Source organism: Homo sapiens, chromosome 10 (assembly GCF_000001405.40).
Source record: "Homo sapiens chromosome 10, GRCh38.p14 Primary Assembly".
NCBI lineage: Eukaryota > Metazoa > Chordata > Mammalia > Primates > Hominidae > Homo > Homo sapiens.
This window is the reverse complement of record NC_000010.11, coordinates 22,688,257-22,708,331: the sequence shown is the minus strand read 5'-3', so window position 1 is coordinate 22,708,331 and position 20,075 is coordinate 22,688,257. Positions and strand designations below refer to the sequence as shown.

Genomic DNA, 20,075 nt, shown 5'->3' with positions numbered 1-20,075 from the left:
AAGGACAGAGGAAGAAGAAACAGGAGGAGAAAACAGAGGTCGGCACAATTAGATGTTCCCAAGTGCTTGAAAGTCATGGCTGTGCTTGTGGTTGATTGCGGGTGGCTGTGAAAGCTTAAAGACTTAAGGAGTGAATGAGTGGAAGTAGAGGCAATTCCTCTTTTTTGGAAGGTAAGTAGAAGGAAGGTGAAAGATGCCATTTTGTTAGGAATCCCTGGGGAGTTTCCTTGAATCCGTCTCTTCGTTTCCATTCTCACTTCTGTCACTCCTAACCAGATTTGTTTCCCTCTTTCCTAGACTGATATTAAACCCCCCTAGCTTATTTCCCTGTGTCTGCCTTTATCCTCATTTCTTTTCTTTTTTGTACTAGGAACTCCTATGGCAGTCCAGTGAAGGCCATAGACTCCTCAGAATGAGGCTTTTAAAGGAATAAATGAAAATACAGAGGATATGTCCTAGCAAGTTCAAGGATCCTTTTAATTCTATCCATGGACCACTTGGGAGTTCATGGAACCCCATCAAGAACCCTTGCAAGAATAAGATGGGGATAGTGTGGGGTGAGAAAGTGGGGAGAGCACGCAGCAGCCAGGAAGAATTCTTGGGGGGGAACACGCATAGGCTGAATTGATTACCCGCCTGGGTCACAGTGCCTAGTACTTGGGATTCACAACGGTACCGTTAACCACTGAGCTGTGCTGCCTGGGCCAAGCTCAGGAATCATTCATTTCTTTGAGTTCTTTTATTTTCTTAGTCTTAAGAGCTGTTCTTCTTGGATGGACAGAGTATTAGCTGTTAACATGGGAGAAAACTACTTGAAAACCAGTTTTTCCCTTCATAGAAAGAAAATCATTGTTAATGTTCAGAGCATGTAGGGAGAGAACCAGTACATAATTTATTTAAGAAAAATGTTGTAGGGAGTTTTAAAACAGTAACTTACCTAAAGCTAAGCCTCACAATTCTAAATCTTTATAGTTTTTCAGCTACCTGGGCACAGTGATTAAGAGCTCTGGAGTCCTTGTTCGGTTGGCTATGTGACCTTGAACAAGTTATTTTGCCTCTCAGTTCCTTGATTATAAAAGGAGGTAATAATGGTACCTACTTTGGAAGTTTGTTATATGGATTAAATCAATTCATACTTGTAAGATGCCTAAATAGTTGCTGGCACATGGTAAGTTCTTAATGTGCTAGCTGTCATTATTACTATCCTTTAAAATAGAGACAGGGTCTTGCTGTATTGGCCAGGCTGGTCTCAAACTTCTGACCTCAAGCAATCCTCTCACCTCAGCCTCCCAAAGTGCTGGAAATAGAGCCTTGAGCCACCATGCCTATCCTATTTTTTTTTTTAATATCTTAAATGCTAAGAGGTAGCAAATTATCAGATTGTATGCTAAATCAATGGTTACTTTATCCTGTTTTGTAGTAGAACATCATCGTTGTTCTTGGCATCCTTGTGTATTTTTGAGTTATGAATTATCATTTTAGAATTACCCTTGTGCCCTTGCTTTGCTTTCTGTATCTATTTTGTTATGTTCTTTCTTGTATTTTTCACACTTCCACTAGCGATTAGGTTCTTTGAAGTGTCAGAAATCTAATTCACATCCATTAGTTGCAAGTTATGTCAGCTATTGACTTGATATTTCACCTTGTCTTTAAATATGGAGACACTGCAAGATGCTTCAGATGCAAAATGAATATATTGTGGACCTTGCTCTCAAATTGTGCATAACTACAGGGGACACAGACGTAAAATAAATATATGTGTAAATAACTACAGTGTCCAGAATGCTAGGGGTGGAAGGTATTAAATAGACCGTGCAGAACATTGAGCAAAGGCATGACGTCGGTGAAGGGCTTAGACATGAGGCAGTTTGGGAGAAGAGCATTTCAGGCGGAGGGGTCAGCTGGTGCAAAGGCCGTGAGGCTGGTGTTTGCTTGGCTTGTTATGGCAACTGCAGGAAAGCTGGCATGGCTGGAGCACAGCAAGAGGGGGATATAGTGGTAGGAGATCTGCCAAGGTGCTAACCAGGACTGGATCATGATTACTTCTGCCTGGGGGACTTGGAGAATCCTTGAGAGGAGGTAACAATGAGGAGGACCTTGAGGATTAGATAGAATCTCCCAGCTGCAGAAGATGGGTGATATGGTTTGGCTGTGTCCCCACTCAAATCTAATCTTGAATTGTACCCATAATCCCCAGGTGTTGTGGGTGGATCAGCTGGAGATAATTGAATCATGGGGGCAGTTTTCCCCATCGTATTCTCGTGATAGTTAGTTCTCACGAGACCTAATGATTTTAAATAAGGAGCTTCTCCTTTTGCTGGGTGTTCATTCTTCTGCTTGCTGCTGCCATGTGAAGAAGGATGTGTTTGCTTCCCCTTCTGCCATGATCGTAAGTTTCTTGAGGTCTCCCCAGCCCTGCAGAACTGAGTCAGTTAAACCTCTTTCCTTTATAAATTACCCAGTCTTGGGTATTTCTTCACAGCAGCGTGAGAACAGACTAATACAATGGGGAAAGGCATATGCAGCTGAGGGTCCGACAGCGGGCAAAACCAAGCAGAGCGGAGAATGTGAGTAGTTGGCTTTGGGTGTGGCCACAGTGGCAGAACCCAGTAACATGTTAGAAATGCAGAGCTTGGGCCTCTGCAGACCTGCTGGAGCAGAATGTACATTTTAACAAGACATGTTGATCGTCAGCATATTTAAGTCTGAGAAACACCCATCAGGGTAAATCTTTGGTTTCAAGCCCTGAGATTCCTTAGATGTGCCTCAGGGGCTGGTGGGAGGGGGCCAAGCTGGTGGGGGAATTTAGGCCTACCTCAGTTTCCTCCAGAACAGCCTTGTTTTTGTCCTCATTGTCATCTCTCTGTCCTTTTTTTTTTTTTTTTTTTTTTTTTTTTTTTTTTTTAACTGGGGTACTGAATATAATACGTAAAGGGGGTAAAAAAGATCCTGCAGCCAAGAAAATTGAAAACCACAGAGGAACATAAAGGGAGTGTCAGGAGATGGTTGAAAGAGTAGTTTGAGGCCACCTTTGAAGGGCCAAGTGGTTGATGTTTGCCAGAGAAAAGCCAGCAGTTCTGACCAGGGTTACTTTAAAATTTGCCACAAATCTCAAATGACACTCGACCCGGAAGTGTTACTGCCTCCTTTAATATGTTCTCCACTCTCTGAAGTCATTTCTTCCTTTTCACTTCTCCTTGAACTTCACCTAGTGTCCTGTCCCCCACTTCCCCCACCCCGTCCTTCCCTCAGCATATAACCTCATTTAGAAAGCATTGAACAAATAGAAGCCGTCAGCTTCCACTCTTCCCACCATCCCATCTAAATTTTGGACAGCTGGGTCCGTCAGTCTACAGACATGCTGGAGGGGCTGCCCTGCCTGGTTTTGTAGCTGCTAGCTATATATGGCAATTTAAATTTCAGCTAATAAAACTTAAAATTCAGTTTCTCATATCAAGTGCTCACTAGCCACATGTGGTTAGTGGTTACTGGATTGAACAGTGCAGATATAGACGATTCCCACCATTGCAGTGTCTTCCACTGACATGGCTCACCATTCCGGGGCCGCCCATCTTGAAAGCAAAATAAACTACAGTAACAGCAGAAGCTCTCCTTCACCCTTAGTCTCTCATTTTAGTGTCTTCTCGTGTTTTCTGTTCCTTTTTTTTTTTTTTTTTTTTCAGATGAGGTCTTGCTTTTTGGCCTGGGCTGGAGTGCATGGTGCAATCATGGCTCACTGCTGCCTCAAACTCCTGGTCTCAAGCAGTCCTGCTTCAGACTCCCTAAGTGCTGGGATTATACATGTGAGCTACCACACCTGCCCTGTTCCTTTTCATAGCAGGAGTGAAAAGCCTTGTCTAAAGCTGAGGTCTCCTATTTCTATAGAGACACCGTACCTGGCAACCGTCAACTTACCTGCGATGATCTCCTTAACTTACCCCAATCTAGCTTTCACCTCCAGCACACCTAGGAAACTGCTCAAGTCAGCATCACTGGCAGTGCTAACATTTTCAAATGCAGGGGGCTCCTTTTTTTTTGTCTCTTGTTTTCCTTCTGCTTCACTAGCCACTCCTTAGGTGCAGGCTCCTCTTTTGCTCAGTCTGGAAATGTTGGAATGCCCCAGGCCTGTGTCCAGGATCATCTTCTACAATTACATTTACTTTACCTACATGATTTCATTTAGTCTCATGGCTTTTTATACCATTTTACAGTCATGATTGAGAAATTTTTAACTTCAGCTCTAACTTTCCTCTTGGGCTCTATATGCAGTTTCTTACCAGGTATCTTCACATGAATAACTAATAGACATCTCAGATGTCCCAAGCAGGCCTCTTGATTTCCTCCCTGCACTCTGCCCCGTCCCCTGTCATAACTTAAACTGGCCTCTTCCCGTCTCAGAAAATGGACCACCATAGACCCAGGTGCTCAAGCTTAAACGTAGGGAGCAACCTTGATTATGCTTTTTTCTCCCCACTCCTTCTCCACATCCAATTTTTGAGTCCCGAATCCACATGCTTTCTATTTGAATCTTCTTTCTCAGGAACACTGTGGTAGCCTCCTGTTTGGTCTCCCGGCATTCAGTTTTGCCCTGTTTCAGTCCACCTTGTCTGCAGCAGTGGCAGAGGAATCTTGCTAAACTGTAGATGATTTCATGTCATGTCCTCAGTTAAACCTTCCAAAGGCTTTACATTGCATTTAGAATAAAATCCAAACCTTTTCTGACCTGCAGGATCTTACTGGCCTGGGCCCCACTTTCCTCCTTGCCCTCATCCCATAACACCCTCTTCATGATTCCTATGTTCCAGCTGCCCTGCGCTTTTTCTGTTCCTAAAGGCAAGCTCAGAGCAGCCACAGTTCTTCAGTCTTTATTTTTCTCTTCGTCGGGAATGTTTTTCCCTCTTTTATTTATTTATTTTTTTATTTGAGACAAGGTCTCGCTCTGTTACCTGGGCTGGAGTGCAGTGGCATGGTCATAGCTCACTGCAGCCTTGAAGTCCTGGGCTCAAGCAATCCTCCTGCCTCAGCCTCCTATGTAGCTGGGACTACAGGTGTGCACCACCATGCCTGGATAATTTTTATAATTTTTGTAAGAGATGGGGGGTCTCGCTGTGTTGCCCAGGCTGGTCTTCAACTCTTGGCCTCAAGTAATCCTCCTGCCTCAGCCTCCCTAGGTGCTGGGATTAGAGGCATGAACCACCATGCCCAGCCTGCCCTCAGATCTTTGGATGGTTGGCTCCTATTAGTTATTTTAGTCTCTTAGCTAAGGGGTTGCCTTCTCAGATGGCCTCTCTGACCTCCTAAGCTAAGGGAGCCCCTCCACTATCATACTGTTATTTTCTCTGTGACACTTAACACTGTTTGAAACTGAGTTGTGTACATTTTTATTGCTTATCTCCCTCAACTAGAACAATAAGTTTCATAGCAACTGAGACTTTTTCCTATTTACTAGGTGTATCCCTGCATCTAGAACAGTGTGTTTAGATAGTAGGTGCTCAGTACATATTGTTGAATGAATGAGTGGGGCTGGGATTCTAAACCGTAGGCCATTAGTTCTCAGGTGGTATACCATGAGGCCTCCCATATTCAATTTTCATAAACATAGAAAGTTGACTTTTGTTATAATCAAGCATAGAGCATTTTAGAGCATTTTGCTGAGCGGGTTGTGCAGTGTGTTAGAGAGTGGGGAAAAACTTGCTGCAAATTGGTGATAAGAGGTATGGGGTAACTGCAAGCCAGTGCCAAAGAAAGAGGTTATGTTTACAGCAGCATGCAAGAACTGTGTCTTGTGAACACGACAGAAAAGGTTCAGAAAGTAAACAACTTCTTTCAAACAGTGTCAGATGTTGAAGGGCCGCCAAGTGAACTGCGTGAAGACTATGAATGCATTTCTAAGTAATCTGAGATATTATGTTAGAAGAGTGTGCTGCAGTGTTATTACTGACTTGTTCTTTTAATGGCTTCAGACATGCCTCTAAAAATTGTAGTATTCAGAAGTGTACCATAAGTTAAATTTAAGATTGCATAAACATTGTAAGAATAGGGATAATGTCAGTATCTCAGTCCTTTGTGGGTCTTTTTCTATTGTGTATTGTTTCTGCTGGTTCTTCTTCATGGTGCCTTGTTGCCATTTATGTTTGGTTCATTTTGGCTCTGAGCTGCTCACTTCCTTGGATAGTCATTCAGGGAACATTCTTCAAGTCTTAAGATAAAGATGTATCCTTCCAGAGAGAATTGTTTGTTTTTGCCACATGGCTAGGGATACTGGAGACCAAGACCATTTGAAACTAAATTCACAGCTTGGAATTTTTTGGACCTCATGGTGATATAAAATTGGGCTGCAGTCCCTGGGGTGGCATGGTTTTATTTTTGGTAGACCCATTGTAGCCTTATGGAGAAAAGGTTTCCTATTAGACTTCACACCTTGGGTGGGCCCTAGTCTTTGTCTTCTGTTCCTGTCAACCCATGAGGCCATCAAAGCCCTTAGAGCCAAAGTGGCTTCCATGACTAACTTATTCTTCCTGCTTCCAGTTTTCACTAAGATCTTGACAGGCCGACTTCTCTCCTCCCTCTTCCAACTCTTTCATGCCTTCAAGAAGATGTTTAAGAACATATTTTATTCAGGACGCTTACTTATTTTCAGTGCAGAGCTGACCTGAATAACCCTGTCAGCAGAAATGCAAATCAACCTCAAAGTTTCAAAAGAGGGAATCCAACAGTAAGTGAGACAGTGAGAAGCCAAAGCATGGTGGCACTTCTGCAGCCTTCCAGGGATGGATCTGTGAGGGGAGTCAGTGGGACAGGAGGTGGGACTGCAAGAAGGAAGAATGCCATTTCTGTCTTCCAGAGGTGATGGGAACCTGAGCTTGGGCAGGGGTAACAGACATTGTTGGATAACCAGGTATAGATGTGGTAGAAGCTGTGTTGTCTAAGTGGCCCATAGCCTAAAAGGTTTGAAGATACTGCTGTAAACAAGCAGACAAAGGATGTGCTTAGAGAGATTTCAGGTAGAATCAGCTGGATTTGGTGACTGTTAGGTAACAGGAAGGAATCGACAGTGACTCACCTAGGTCATTTTCTTACCATTCACACTCTCCATTACATTATTGTTATTTGGGGGCTGTTAGCTTCTGGCGGGATACCCCTGCCCCTCTTGCCACAACTGGGATTGTACACACAGATACTGTGAGACAGAAGAGGATTAATAAACTGCCCTGGGAGAGTTAGTGGTAGGCTCTTGAAATTCTTCAAGAATTGAATTAGCGTGGTGGATGGAGAAGCTGGAGAAAACATGTTACAGGCAGAGTAATGCATAGAAAAGCATAAAGGGTATGTGGCATTTCCAGGGAACTGCCAAACCCTTCTTCAGGTGCTTCTATACTTCTCTCCTTCTGATTTTATGGTTTTATTCATTTCCATTCTTATGGACATGTTCTTATTTAAATTACTTTTGTTTGTGTTTCTGTAGGCTTGGTCATTTAGGCTTAGAAACATATTTGCAAGTTGCTAGACACCCTAACATTCAGAGCTTAGTTTATTTGTAGTTGTAATAAATAAGCCTTGCTTTTGTTTTTTCAGCCTGGACTTTGAGGAAGGTGTTAGGTATTAGTCAACCCGAGAATGACCTCTGTAGCATTCTACATGACCTGCACAAAGGCTCCAGGTGGTAGGGGCAGGTGGGGGCTGACGTCAGTATTGCCACCTGCACACCATAGCAAGGGGCTGCATTAGCGGGAGACAGGCACCCTTTTTGTGAGTTGTCCGCACAGAGGAGGCTCATTTTCTGATGTGCACAGAGGTGCCTGTGTGCTAGCAGCTGCCCTGGTTTGCCTTGCTTTTCTCGGGTCATGCATCCAAAATTTCTCATGTCACGTTCCCAAGCACTGGTGTCTTTGGAGGAGCGTTCAGGTGGTGTTCAGTCTGGACAGAAGAAAAGAAAGTGGGGTTTATAAAGTCCCCTTATAGATTTGAATCTGCTTTAGAAAATGCACCGTTGTGCAGTCTTTGCTGCTGCTACATACATGCTTCTATAATGCAGATTCACTTGTATGAGATCGGTGCTATCGGGAATGTGGTGTAGGATGTATGAATTGGTCCATAAGCAGTTTTCCTTGAGTATGCCACTGCCTCCAAGTATCAGCAGCTAGGTGCAAAGTACACTAATACAGCTCAAGGCAGCAAGCCAAATTGAGAAACAGGACTGCATACCTTGCTCTTGTATCCGTTTTCTTCCTCCTGACTCCAGCAGGCTTCTGCTCGATCTCAGAAGTACTCATTTCAGGGTTCTCTCCAATCTCTGGACATTTTCTCCTAGTCTGTGTAACTTAGAAGCTTGGTTACTCCTTGTATTCCTTCCATCAAATGATCCTCACCTTTGTGTTTCTAAAGTCCATTATATATCTATTAGAAATTACACTAAAATACTGTTTATTTTTCTATTTTTAGGATTTTTATTTTTAAGCATTCTGGTGATAGAGTTTCATAGTTTTTCAGTGGTCTGCCTAAAATCTGGATTTTAGTGTCTATGTAGAACTTAGAAATTTTTCAGAAATACATATATTGCATTACAATAAAAGTGTTTGTATTTACAATGTATTTTGAACAACTATATGCCCAGGCTGCAAGTTTCCCAAAGAAAGATGTAATCGTTGGTTTTTTTGTTTCCAAGGATAACCAGGTATAGATGTGGTAGAAGCTGTGTTGTCTAAGTGGCCCGTAGCCTAAAAGGTTTGAAGATACTGCTCTAAACAAGCAGAACATTAATTTATTTGTCGGCCCTTTGAGTTTTCTTACTAATCCTCTTCTGGCCTGACCATGTGCCCCTCCCAAGTTTCGCACATTCCCAGGTATCTAGTGTGTTCAGTTGTCTCCCTGCGCTACTCAGCAGCTACCTTTTTCAGCATTGGCCCTAGCTTGCTTCTGTGCCCAGGAACAGGAACAGAAGTTTTCTTCTCAGGGGTCCCCTGTCTCTCTTAGACCAAGTCCACAGGCTTTTACTACATTAGGCCTTGGAGTACATTTCCTGTAGAATCAAAGGGCCAACTTACAAATGAATGTTTGGAACACAACCCATTCATAAATTAGGTTCTGCCTGCACCCAGATGGAAAGTTAAATGCTTTGGCATCAGAAGAACTGTTGGGAAACAGATATTGTTTCTGAAATTATGATAAATCCATAAGGCACTTTCTTTTTGGCACGTTGCGCCAAAGTAGGAGGACAGGAGCAAATTTTAGGGACATTAAAAAAATAGGTTAGGAGAAGCTAATCTTTTTGTCTAATTCACTTTCTCTTGCAGTTCTGGCATCGGATACTCACAGATTTAACACATGCCAATGAATATTTGAGCCAGGAAATAGCCAATAGTGAATATTTTTATTATGTGTTAGATAAAGCTTCTTTCTTCTTATGCTTATTTAGGTGAACTAGAAATATGGTTTCAGTGAAATTTAAGTTCTGATAAGTACAGATACATAGCATATTTTCTGAAAAATTTGAAAAACACACACAAATATAAAAAATTACCATAACCATTCTATCAAGCAACCAGTGTTAATGTTTTAATGTTTCTTTCCAATGTCTTTTTAAAAAAATCTCATTGAGACTATTCTATGTATTTAATCTTACTATGTATTCTTAACAATTATTTTAAATTTTTGATCACTGCTTAATAATTAGGTTGGTGCAAAAGTAATTGTGGTTGTTGCCATTACTTTCAGTGGCAAAAACTGCTATTCCTTTTGCACCAACCTAAATAGTTTAATGAAGTTTAATAGTCCAAACATTGGTCCCAGTATTTTGCCACCACAAATAATGTTGCTGTCAGCATCTCCCTGTATGAAACTCTTTCTTATTTAGGATGATTTCCTTAGAAGAGATTCTCTTTTTGGGGAATTTACTTGGTCAAAGGGTATGAATATTTTAAGGCTCTTGGTACATGTTGCCAAGTTGCTTTCAAAAAGGGTTATACCAGATTATAACCCTAGCAGTGTGGCTAAGAGCTGCTTTCCCACATCTTCTGCTTTCAGGGTTCTAAATTGAACAGCAAAGATTGGAATAAAAAGATATCCTTTTTTCCCATATGCTTTTAACCCATTTAAATCTCTTTATAGAGATTTTCAGCAGTTTGACCAAAGATGTACGCACATGGGCAGTGTGGGAGTATCAGGTCTGAGGTTGGAAGATGGCTTCCACATAGGCTGCCTGGCCCGAGTCTGCCCTCTGAAAAGAGCTGCTTTCAACTGACCCACTTCTCCCAGTTTTTCTTCGTCGGACTCTAAGCAGAGAGTGCCTGCATCCCAGAAGCAGGTCGCTGTCCACTGTCTGTGGTTGGTTAATTTTTGCTGGCCATAGCCCACATGATTTATATTAAACTCAATCCAATAGCATTTAATGGCAGGCAGAATTCTTCCCATGTAAGTAGACTAGTCAGGAATTTGCCTTTCATTATCCTCGGTCTGACTGCTTAACGTTAGACTCGACCTATGGACGATTCACATGAACCGTTTCAGAAAATGTAATGTGACATCTGCTAGAGTCCACAATTACAGGGTGTGTGTGTGTTTGTGTGTGTGTGTGTATGTGTGTGTTTAATTTTTTAAAAAATTTTCCGAGATGCAGTTTTGCCCTGTTACCCAGGCTGGAGTACAGTGGTGTGATCATAGCTCACTACAGCCTCGAATTCTTGGGTACAAGTGATTCTCCTGCTTCAGCCTCCTGTAATAGCTGGGACTATAGTTGTGTGCCACCATACCCCGCTAATTTTTAAAAACAAATTTTTGTAGAGATGGGGGTCTTGCTGTGTTGCCTAGTAGGATAGTCTTGAACTCCTGGGCTCAAGTGATCTTTCTGCCTCGGCCTCCTAAAGTTTTGGGATTTCAGACATGAGCCACCACACCCAGCCTTGCTTTTTAAATGTTGGATGTTACCATCCCTCTACTGTGGTCCTGTAGTTTGGCTTGAAGCTTGATTCTGTGCGCTAGCCACTCTGTCAAGAATTATGTAGTATAAATAATGCCGGTCACTTGTGCTGACCTCACAAACATTCCGAAGCCTGGCAAGGCAGGTGTGGAAGCTCAGAGCTTTGCCATCTAACTGAGTACTCAGGCTTCTTTCCATTTAGATAAGACACTCAGAAAGGAAAAGCAATGCAATTTTAATTTTTACTTAACATACAAAGTAGCCTTTTTTTTTTTTTTAAGCTGAAGGAAATGAACTCCAGAGAACACTGAAGAAAATTGAAGGAAAAAAGTAGAGCTCTTAGAAAGAAAGGAAAGGTCACGCTTATAAACTGTAGCCATCTAGATAAACTGTTATTTCCACTTTATGTGGATGTATTTTATTGTGACAGTGCTAACTACAGTTGCCAATTTTCAGGAGGCCTAAATTACTGACTATTTTAGATGAATTCAGGCTTTAAAATTAGCCCTGGGATAATATATTTCTTTTAAAATGGGACCTTAATTGATCCTTATTTTTTAAAGCTTGAATTAAGTAGAAAATTAAGGGTCTTTTGTAAAAGATGATAATATATATTTAACTTGGATGATTACCTAATAGAGAATTATTCCTTGTTCTAGTATTTTAAAATATTAAATGTTTGACACAAAAACAGACCATTCTGAATAGGCTTTAGGAAGTAGGTGACTTTTCAGTATGAATAAACTATATGTAATTTTTCATTAACTTCAAAATAAGAACTTTAAAAATTATGGATATAAATTTTTATGCCCTATTTTAAGAAACTACCCTTTTTTTCTTATGAGAAAAATGTCTGCAAGATTGAAAAAAGCTTCCATATAGAGTAATACATTGAATGAAATGAGTTGTTTTCTACTTAATCAGAGTGGCCAAAGGCTATTTCAAAACAAATTTATTCCCATTTCTGAACCTTCAAATCAAGAGACCATTTAAGGATTCATTTCAATTTGGTTATTTATAAGAAGAAAAGACTATTCTGATGGCATGTAGGATGGTCCTAAAGTAATCGGCTCAGCTAAAAACACACTTATAACAGTTGGGCATGTCAGCTGAGGAGAGACCCTTATAGCCTGTGTTTCCTACAAAAACAAAAACACAGTTCTTTTATGAAAGTAGACAAGTTGATGGTATATTTGGGCTAAATAAAATACAATGTTGACATATGTTGAAATATTCTATAGTTGTTACACATGTTGGCTGAGGTGGTTGTACTGATCCAGACACATGGCTGATACTTTGAGTGGGAACATAGCCAGTGTGGTTTTAAAATATTATGTCCCTCTGAGGAGGGATTACAGATGATTTTTTGCTTTCTACTTACACCTTTTTATAGGTTTCTTACAAAAATATTGCGCATGCAGTCTTCTTACAATTAGGGAAAAAACCCAAGACATGCTCTAAGGTGAGATGAGTGGGGGGAAGAAATCTGTATACAGTCAGCCCTCTGTATCCAAGGCTTCTGAATCTTCAGATTCAACCAACCACGGGTCGAAAATATTAAAGGAAAAAAATGAAAAATAATATAAGTAAAAGCACCAATACAGTAAAACAGCTACTTACTGTGACCATACATTGTGTTAGGTACTTACACATGGACTAGAGATGATATAGAGTATATGGGAGGATGTGTGCAGGTTTTATACAAATACAATGTTTTGTATTAGGGACTTGAGCATCTGGGGAGTGTGGTATCCTGGGGAGTCCTGGAACCAATCCCCCAAAGATACCAAGGGAAGACTGTATATTGAATTCAGTGAGGCAGAAATGACTTGTACATTTTGGTTTGTGAAATAAAATATTCTCTTCATATAGGGGATTTTTCTCTCTGTGTAGCTCTCCTAGGAAATCCCTTGATTAAAAGAAATATTGATTGTACTGGGAGAAACAAATAATAAATGATTCTAAAAGTTGTCACTTTTTGTGAGTTTGGGAAAAACAAGGATAAACTGCAGTGATGACCACTAATTTACCTACAGGTATCCAAGTTTTTATTGCATCTTAGCAGTGAAAAAAATCGGAGCATGTGCTCTCAATATATGAATTTTTATTTATAAGTTTTCCTGTGTGTACTACTGAATTATTTTGTCTTATACATAGAAGTTTTAAAAGGATCCACTGACGGTAAATATTAGTAACTAAAACTTGTTTTGTTAAAAATTATTGATAGCGTGAAAAATTATCATTAGTGTGTAGTGGATTTTATTTTTTCAAATGAAGGTTATGTGGATGAGTTTGTATCACTGTTTTTAAAAATGGTGAATATTTTATGATAAAGCAATTTGAAGGTCTGGTCCTATATTCATTTTGCTATTTGGTTTTAATAGCTCAAAAAGTTACCTACAAAGATACACGGATCCAAATGGGTGAAGTGCATTGTTGACTGTGCTTTCTAACTGGTGATTCTCATTTTCACACTGTCCACCAGTTAGATAAAAATTTTTCTGGTAAATTTCCATTTTTGTGGATAGCAGTAAGTTCTCATAAAATGTGTTCCAGTTTATGTTAAGGATAAAGAGGGTTGAAAATAAAAAACTTTTTACATTTATTGAAAATTTTAAAACAGATGAGAAGTATTTTATAAGTTCTTTGTACAAAAGATACAAAAGCACATCTCTTTTCAAAATACTTTCTGTACAGTCTGAGTTTCTTTTCAAAAAAGCAGTTATTTTCTTGCACTTCTTAAAACCTCATCTTTACCTTGAAGGGACTGATTAAGTAAGGTCATTGAAAAAAACATCTGCCAGGTATTACTGACAGCCACTTGTGATCACAGAGTAGGTCAGGAAATTTGGAGCAAATTGTATTTATGTAAGGGAAAAATGTGTTAATCATTCTTAAAACAATTCTTCTATGTATTTTGCCACAAGAGAACTGGAACACCTCTGTATGGTACAAAACATTTTTGGGGTCACGCCCCACCTCATTACTGAAAGGCTTTGTTTTTTATACTACATAGATGGTAGCCCTACATGAATAAATTGAACAGATGACAGAGGGACCCACTGCCACATCTTGAGTTATTTAAGTGGCATGTGACATCTAACCTGTGGACCCAAATAAGGGCTGTCAGTGTTGGTAAAAGCTGCATTTCTTAGCTTTTAAGGTAAAATTAAGTGTAAGTAGACATTCTGACAGTTTCTTCTTGCACTCAGTAGATTGTCTTGCTTACCCCTCGCCTATACACATCACTTAGATTTTCAGGTACAGTAACCCCTTGGTATCCCCAGGGGATTGGTACTAGGATCCTGCAGACACCAAAATCCTCAGATGCTCAAGGCCTTGCAGTCAGCCCTGTGGCACCCAGGGGTATGAAAAGGTAGTCCGCCGTATCCATGGGCTCTGCATCCAGCCAGTAATGTATTTTTGAATCGCCTTTGCTTTAATCCGAGGGCTCCGCATACTCAGATAAGGTGTGTAAATGAAGGAGAGAGTGACTCTGGACTTAACACCTCTTTTATCATGCTCTCTTCATTTCTTGGATTCCATTAAAAAAAATCATAACCCATCAGAACCAGATGGTAGTTGTAATTTTTTTTTTCCTAATCCCTTCATGTTATAGCTGAGAAAGCTGAGACAGTAAAATAAAGAAACAGTGCTCAGTGATAGAGCGAGGACCAGAATTATGTCTCCCAACGCAGCACCAGGCTGGGTGTGTGTGTTAAGGTCATCTGTGGGTAGTGTGTCGATGACTAAGCTCCCCAGATGGGAACTAGTGGAGATCTGTTGATATCTGACTTTCTAAAAACTAATTTCTCTCTCAGATCTCTCGGCTCTGTTCTTTTGTTTCTTAAACATACGGCCTTGAAATCATCTTTAGTTTTTGTCTTTTTGCTTTCTTATAGACACATGCTTTGTCTAGCTATTACTGAAACATAAAGAATACTCATAAATAGATTCTCATTTCCTGAGAAGTTGCCTTCTGAGTGAATCAACATGCCATGTAGAATCACTCTTGGACTCTTTTTAGTGATGATGGTGAAATCCTTGTATGTATTACTCTCCAAAAGCCTTAAAAATGTTAACAAAGAATACATAGGTAAAATAAAGCAAAATGCAATCAGCTAAAAAAAAAATGAAGTTGTAAAGATGGGGAGAGAAAAACACATTTACCATAAAATTTTTCACAGTCCTGGTTAAGGAAATTGACATTGGAACTTGAAACTTAGGTTTGAATTTCTTAGCAACCTTGACAAATCTGTGATCTAACTATCCTTGTCTAATGGGAGGACAGATACTGGTTTATTTTCACCCCCTGATTCTAAGGAAAACTTATGACCCCAATCGATTAAAACAGGACTAAAATTAATGGATATGCAGAACTATTTGTTATTGAGTCCCATGAAAGCCAAGGCAAAATGGGACACACACCAGGTATCAGAGTGAGGCAGCCCAGAGGTACGGCTTTCTCCCAGCCTGGCTGTAAACAGAGATCAGCCTTGAATAAATGATTCCTTGACGAACATTTTCCAGTCCAGCTTGGTGAAAAATTGAGATCACTATTGAGTGCCTAAAGGACATGTTTTCTGCATTGTTGACTGAAAGAAGATTCCTATACCATAGTTACCTTGGTATGTAGGTAGTAAAGACCTTGTACCATTGGGTCAAATGAGAACCTCACTTGTGGTCTTGTATGAAGGGCTGTTCCATCTCTAAGGGAAGGCCGTAAGTGGGGCCTGGATATTTCTGAGAAAACATTTGATGGTAGTACTCTATTGAAGCCCCAAATTCTAAGCTACAGAGCAGAAAAGACAACGTCTAGGAAAAGAGACACCAAGTGCCTACCCCTTTCACAGAAGAATCTAGCTGCAGCTTCTGTAATATGTTTATTTAGAATCACATCCCACCCTGCCCTAGTTCTCAAATAATCTAGTGTGGATTTTAGACAATTTTCTGTTGTCTAAGACAGATCCCCAACCCCTACTCCACAGATGGACCAGTAGTGGTCCATGGCCTGTTAGGAACTGGGCCACACAGCAGGAGGTGAGCAGCGGGCAAAGGATCAAAGCTTCATCTGTATTTACAGCCGCTCCCCATTGCTCACATTACCGCCTGAGCTCTGCCTCCTGTCAGATCAGCAGCAGCATTAGATTCTCATAGGAGCGCAAACCCTATTGTGAACTGCACACGTGAGCAATCTAGGTTACTCACTCCTTATGAAAATCTAATACCTGATGATCTGTCACTGTCTCCCATCACCCCCAGATGGGACCATCTAGTTGCAGGAAAACAAGCTCAGGGCTCCCACTGATTCTATATATTATTGAGTTGTATAATTATCTCATTATGTATTACAGTGTAATAATAGAAATTAAGTGCACAATAAAGGTAATGGTCTTGAGTCATCCCAAAACCATCCCCACACCACCCCAGTCCCTGGAAAAATTGTCTTCCACAAAACCAGTCCCTGGTGCCTGAAAGGTTGGGGACTGCTAGTCTATAAGATGGTTTTCTATTGCACAGTCCAGACTGACAATGACAAGGAATTTAGAATCTCAGCTATTGTTCTATTTCCAGCAGCTCTTCCTATTGATTAACTATGAGAAACATATTTTTAAGAAGGCTTATTTTTGGGAAGTTAGAGTTGTGTTGTTTGAGGTGTGCTCCTGAAAGCTGTTTACTCAAACCTTTATGGGTCAAGTTTTGTGCTGGGAGCAGGGTTTCCCTTGTAGTGAGGAGCTTACACCTGGAAACATAGCAAATGACGCAATGGGAGAGCCACCTCACTGTGGAATCAGGTAGGGCATACATACAGAAATGAATTTTAAATGTTAAAGTATTTCTATTTTACACAAATGATCATGTGAGGACTTAGATTTTATGATAAAAAGTAAGGAATAAAATTTGAAAAAGCTTTATAAGAACTTCTGGAAAACAAAAGCAAAAACAAGTCTCCCTGGTATAAAGATGCATATGCAGTGGAAGGAAATGTACTGGGGTGGCAATCGAGCATCCTGGGAGGAGGAGAAGGGGCAAGAGTCAGAATAAACATAGGGCTCTGTCATGTATAGGTCTGAAGAAAAGAGGGCCGGTATATGGATGAGCATTTCGGGCCTTTTAACTACAGAGCTGGAAGATAATGCAGGTTCCCAGGAGGTAGGATGACAAGGACAAAGGAGGGCAGGCCTGAACTATTCAGGGGACGAGCTCTGGGCTGTTCTGAATCGCAGATGCCATCCTGAATTGCATTTGTGTCAAATAGGCTGCAGTGGTTCATGCATACCTTTGCTTCTGTTTGGCACACACCGTCTGAACCTCAGGCATTTCTTAAGACTTTACCAAAACCATTCAGTTTTCTTATTGTAAAATCGAGACACCACCACCTCTTCTGTCTCCCTTAGGGGGTTACGTGGGGGACCAAATCCTTTTTTCTACCCTGGAGCAAGTGCCAGCACAGGGAGGTGGTAGAAATGTTTGCTCAGGTGCCCACAGCCAATTGATGCCCCACTGCTCTTGTGTTTGTATTGAATCCCTTTGTTAATTTTTTTCTTGTTTAGAGGAAATACATATGGTGATTTTGCAATCAATGCAGCATTGCATAATAATTAAAGGGCTAGCCTTGGGGCCAGACTATTTCAGATTCTAGCCCTCCCATTTGCCTTGCATGATTACTTATCTCAAGCTCAGTTTTCTCTTCTGTAAAACGGTTATTTCTTACCATGCTATTAAGAGGACAGAATGAGGTAAGGATGACCCAAATGTCAGTCCATGTGCACTCATTGAATCTTAGGGTTTTTCCTCCCCTTCTTTGGTATTTGTGCTCTTTGAAGAAAAGAGCACATATCTCCTCTTGAAAGAGGAGATATGTTGGGTTTTTGTTACTCTCTTCCACAAGAGGAGATGTAAAAACTTTTCAAAATTTTATTTAGTATTTCAGCTTGTGGAAAACACATTAAGATGGCAAATAATCTTAAAATAAATTAGTGGAGTTAATGATTTCCAAGTAGGGGGAACCCTAATGATTTAAATATGTCCCGATGCTGTATTAACTTACAGAGTGTAGCATAGTGCCTGAGTTCAGATTTAGGAGCCTACTGGCTGGACTCAGCACTTATTAGCTGTGTGACCTTGGGCAAGTGAATTAATCTCTCTGTACCTCAGTTTTATTATTTATACAACGTGGGTAGTATTAGCACCTAGATTTTGGGATTGTTCCCCCAACCTCTACTCCAAAATAGGGTTTTTTTGAGGTTTAAATGAGTTAATATACATTAAACCCTTAGAACCATGCCTGGCCCTGTTTGCTGTTATTTATTATTGTTATGATGCTGCTGCTGTAGTGTGAATAAAGTCAAGAGTAATTTAAGTTTTGAGAAATACTTAATTATAATAAAATGTCTTTGGACAAGCAGTTATAAGGATTTTTTTTTCCCCCTGCAGGGCTCAAGTGTTTGAAAAGAGTAAGTACATTCCAGCCTTATTCAGTGATGTCCTTACAGGGACCTTGCTTTTGTGCATCAGTCTTTTGTGACATGAAAATGTTGCTAAAGAAAAACTTGAGCAGTTGGTAAAGACATCGCAAGGTGTTGTGGCAACAACCATCAGTTTGCAGTGATTATGCTATGGTTGGTTGTTCTCATATGTTTCCACTTTCTTTGCAGTAATACCTGTATGCATTATTTACAATTCCAAATTGAAGCCATCCATTCCTTTACTGTCATGCACCTTGAAATCTGTTTACAGTCATCCCTCAGTATCTGTGAGGGATTGGTTTCAGGACCACTCCCCATACCAAAATCCTGAAGATGCTCAAGTCCCTGATACAAAATGGCATGATGTTTGCATTTATACTGTGCACATCCTCCTGCATGCTTTAAATTCTGTCTCTAGATTATAGTACTTAATACAATGTAAGTGCTATGTACATAGTTGCCATACTGTGTTGTTTAGGGAATAATGGCACGAAAAAAAGTCTGTACATGTTCAGTATAGCTGCAACCATGGTAGGCCTAGTTACATTTTCCATCGGATGCGGAACCTGAAAATATGGAGGACCTGTTGTGTGGGCTTCATCTAGGTGATTAATGACATAGCAGAGCAGTGTTTTTTTGTTGTTGTTTTTTAAAAATATTTTTCAATGTACAGGCCTTTATTAACTGAGTGCTCAGAAGTAAGCTCAGTGTGTGTCACAAGCATGGAGATGGGGGATTGCTCCCAAGGAGAAGAGAGGGGGTGAGGGGCAGCTTGGGGAGTGAGGAGGGGAGGAAGGACAGTGGGACCAGGGCTAGTCCCCCACCTCCGACACCCTAGCTCCTGAAGAGTTCCACCAGACCCACCCTTGTGCTCCTCGAAGAAAAATCTGCTAAGGAAGAAGAAAAAGATAGGTTAGTGTTTTTAATGTGACAGACAAATGAATCTTTAAGTGATTCCTTGCATGAATCTAATTCTTGATGATAGCCAATTATTTGAGATGGGTGATAAATTATAACAAGCCCAGACCTTTTACCCTTGGCTCTGGGTATGCATATATGTAAGGAACTTAATGGTAATAGGAACACCCCGTTATCCAGTCTAATAATAAACCACTAATTGTACCAGATAAAAAATATTATGAACTGAAGACCTAATATTGTTGAAATGTCACAACTTCTGTGAGTAAAACATTTCAGCTGGGCACGGTGGCTCATGCCTATAATCTCAGCACTTTGGGAGTCTGAGGTAGGAGGATCACTTTAGCCCAGGAGTTCAAGACCAGCCTAGGCAACGTAGCAGGACCCCATCTCTATGAAAAATAAAAAAATTAACCAGGCATGGTGGTGAGTGCCTGTAGTCTCAGCTACTCGGGAGGCTGAGGTGGGAGGATGACTTGAGCCCAGGAGGTCAAGGCTGCAGTGAGCCAAGATGGTGTCAGTGTACTCCAGCCTGGGCGACAGAGGAAGACCCTGTCTTAATCAGTCAATCAGTATTTCATGCTTTTAGATACTTTGTGGTTTTCCCACCAGATACTGTCACTACTATCAAAGAACCACGTAAGGAAATTCTGTAAATGGTTCTTAACTTTGTGCCAGACACCTGAGAATGTGCGCAGGTTTATTAGCTATAGTCCTTCATCTTGAGTCTGTATAGAATCCTGTCCTCTCCTGATACTGTACGTAAGTTACTC

At 40.6% G+C, this 20,075-nt stretch overlaps 1 protein-coding gene across 5 annotated transcripts in view, besides 4 other annotated features; it reads left to right on the top strand.

Moving 5' to 3' along the window:
- PIP4K2A (phosphatidylinositol-5-phosphate 4-kinase type 2 alpha) overlaps nt 1-20,075 on the top strand; it is a 179,725-nt gene that overhangs the window by 6,247 nt on the left and 153,403 nt on the right. The window contains exon 1 of one of the 5 annotated variants that reach the window (XM_047425351.1): nt 2,907-18,372. The exons of the other annotated variants lie outside the window; for them this stretch is intronic. The gene's annotated coding sequence lies outside the window, so the exon portion shown is untranslated. Of the gene's footprint in view, nt 1-2,906; nt 18,373-20,075 lie in introns of those variants that run through there. 5 annotated transcript variants of the gene reach the window in all.
- Nucleotides 3,897-3,956: an enhancer, noted in NCBI's record as "active region_3147". NCBI's record gives its function as "activates an Ori minimal core promoter by ATAC-STARR-seq in GM12878 lymphoblastoid cells {active_cell/tissue: GM12878}" and the evidence as "EXISTENCE:reporter gene assay evidence [ECO:0000049][PMID:35858748]".
- Nucleotides 7,776-7,835: an enhancer, noted in NCBI's record as "active region_3146". NCBI's record gives its function as "activates an Ori minimal core promoter by ATAC-STARR-seq in GM12878 lymphoblastoid cells {active_cell/tissue: GM12878}" and the evidence as "EXISTENCE:reporter gene assay evidence [ECO:0000049][PMID:35858748]".
- Nucleotides 13,972-15,366: an enhancer, noted in NCBI's record as "VISTA enhancer hs2048". NCBI's record gives its function as "enhancer in: branchial arch[4/8]" and the evidence as "EXISTENCE:transgenic organism evidence [ECO:0001131][PMID:17130149]".
- Nucleotides 16,793-17,707: an enhancer, noted in NCBI's record as "OCT4-NANOG hESC enhancer chr10:22979554-22980468 (GRCh37/hg19 assembly coordinates)". NCBI's record gives its function as "activates a minimal SCP1, AML or CMV promoter by ChIP-STARR-seq in primed H9 embryonic stem cells {active_cell/tissue: H9 hESC(primed)}" and the evidence as "EXISTENCE:reporter gene assay evidence [ECO:0000049][PMID:30033119]".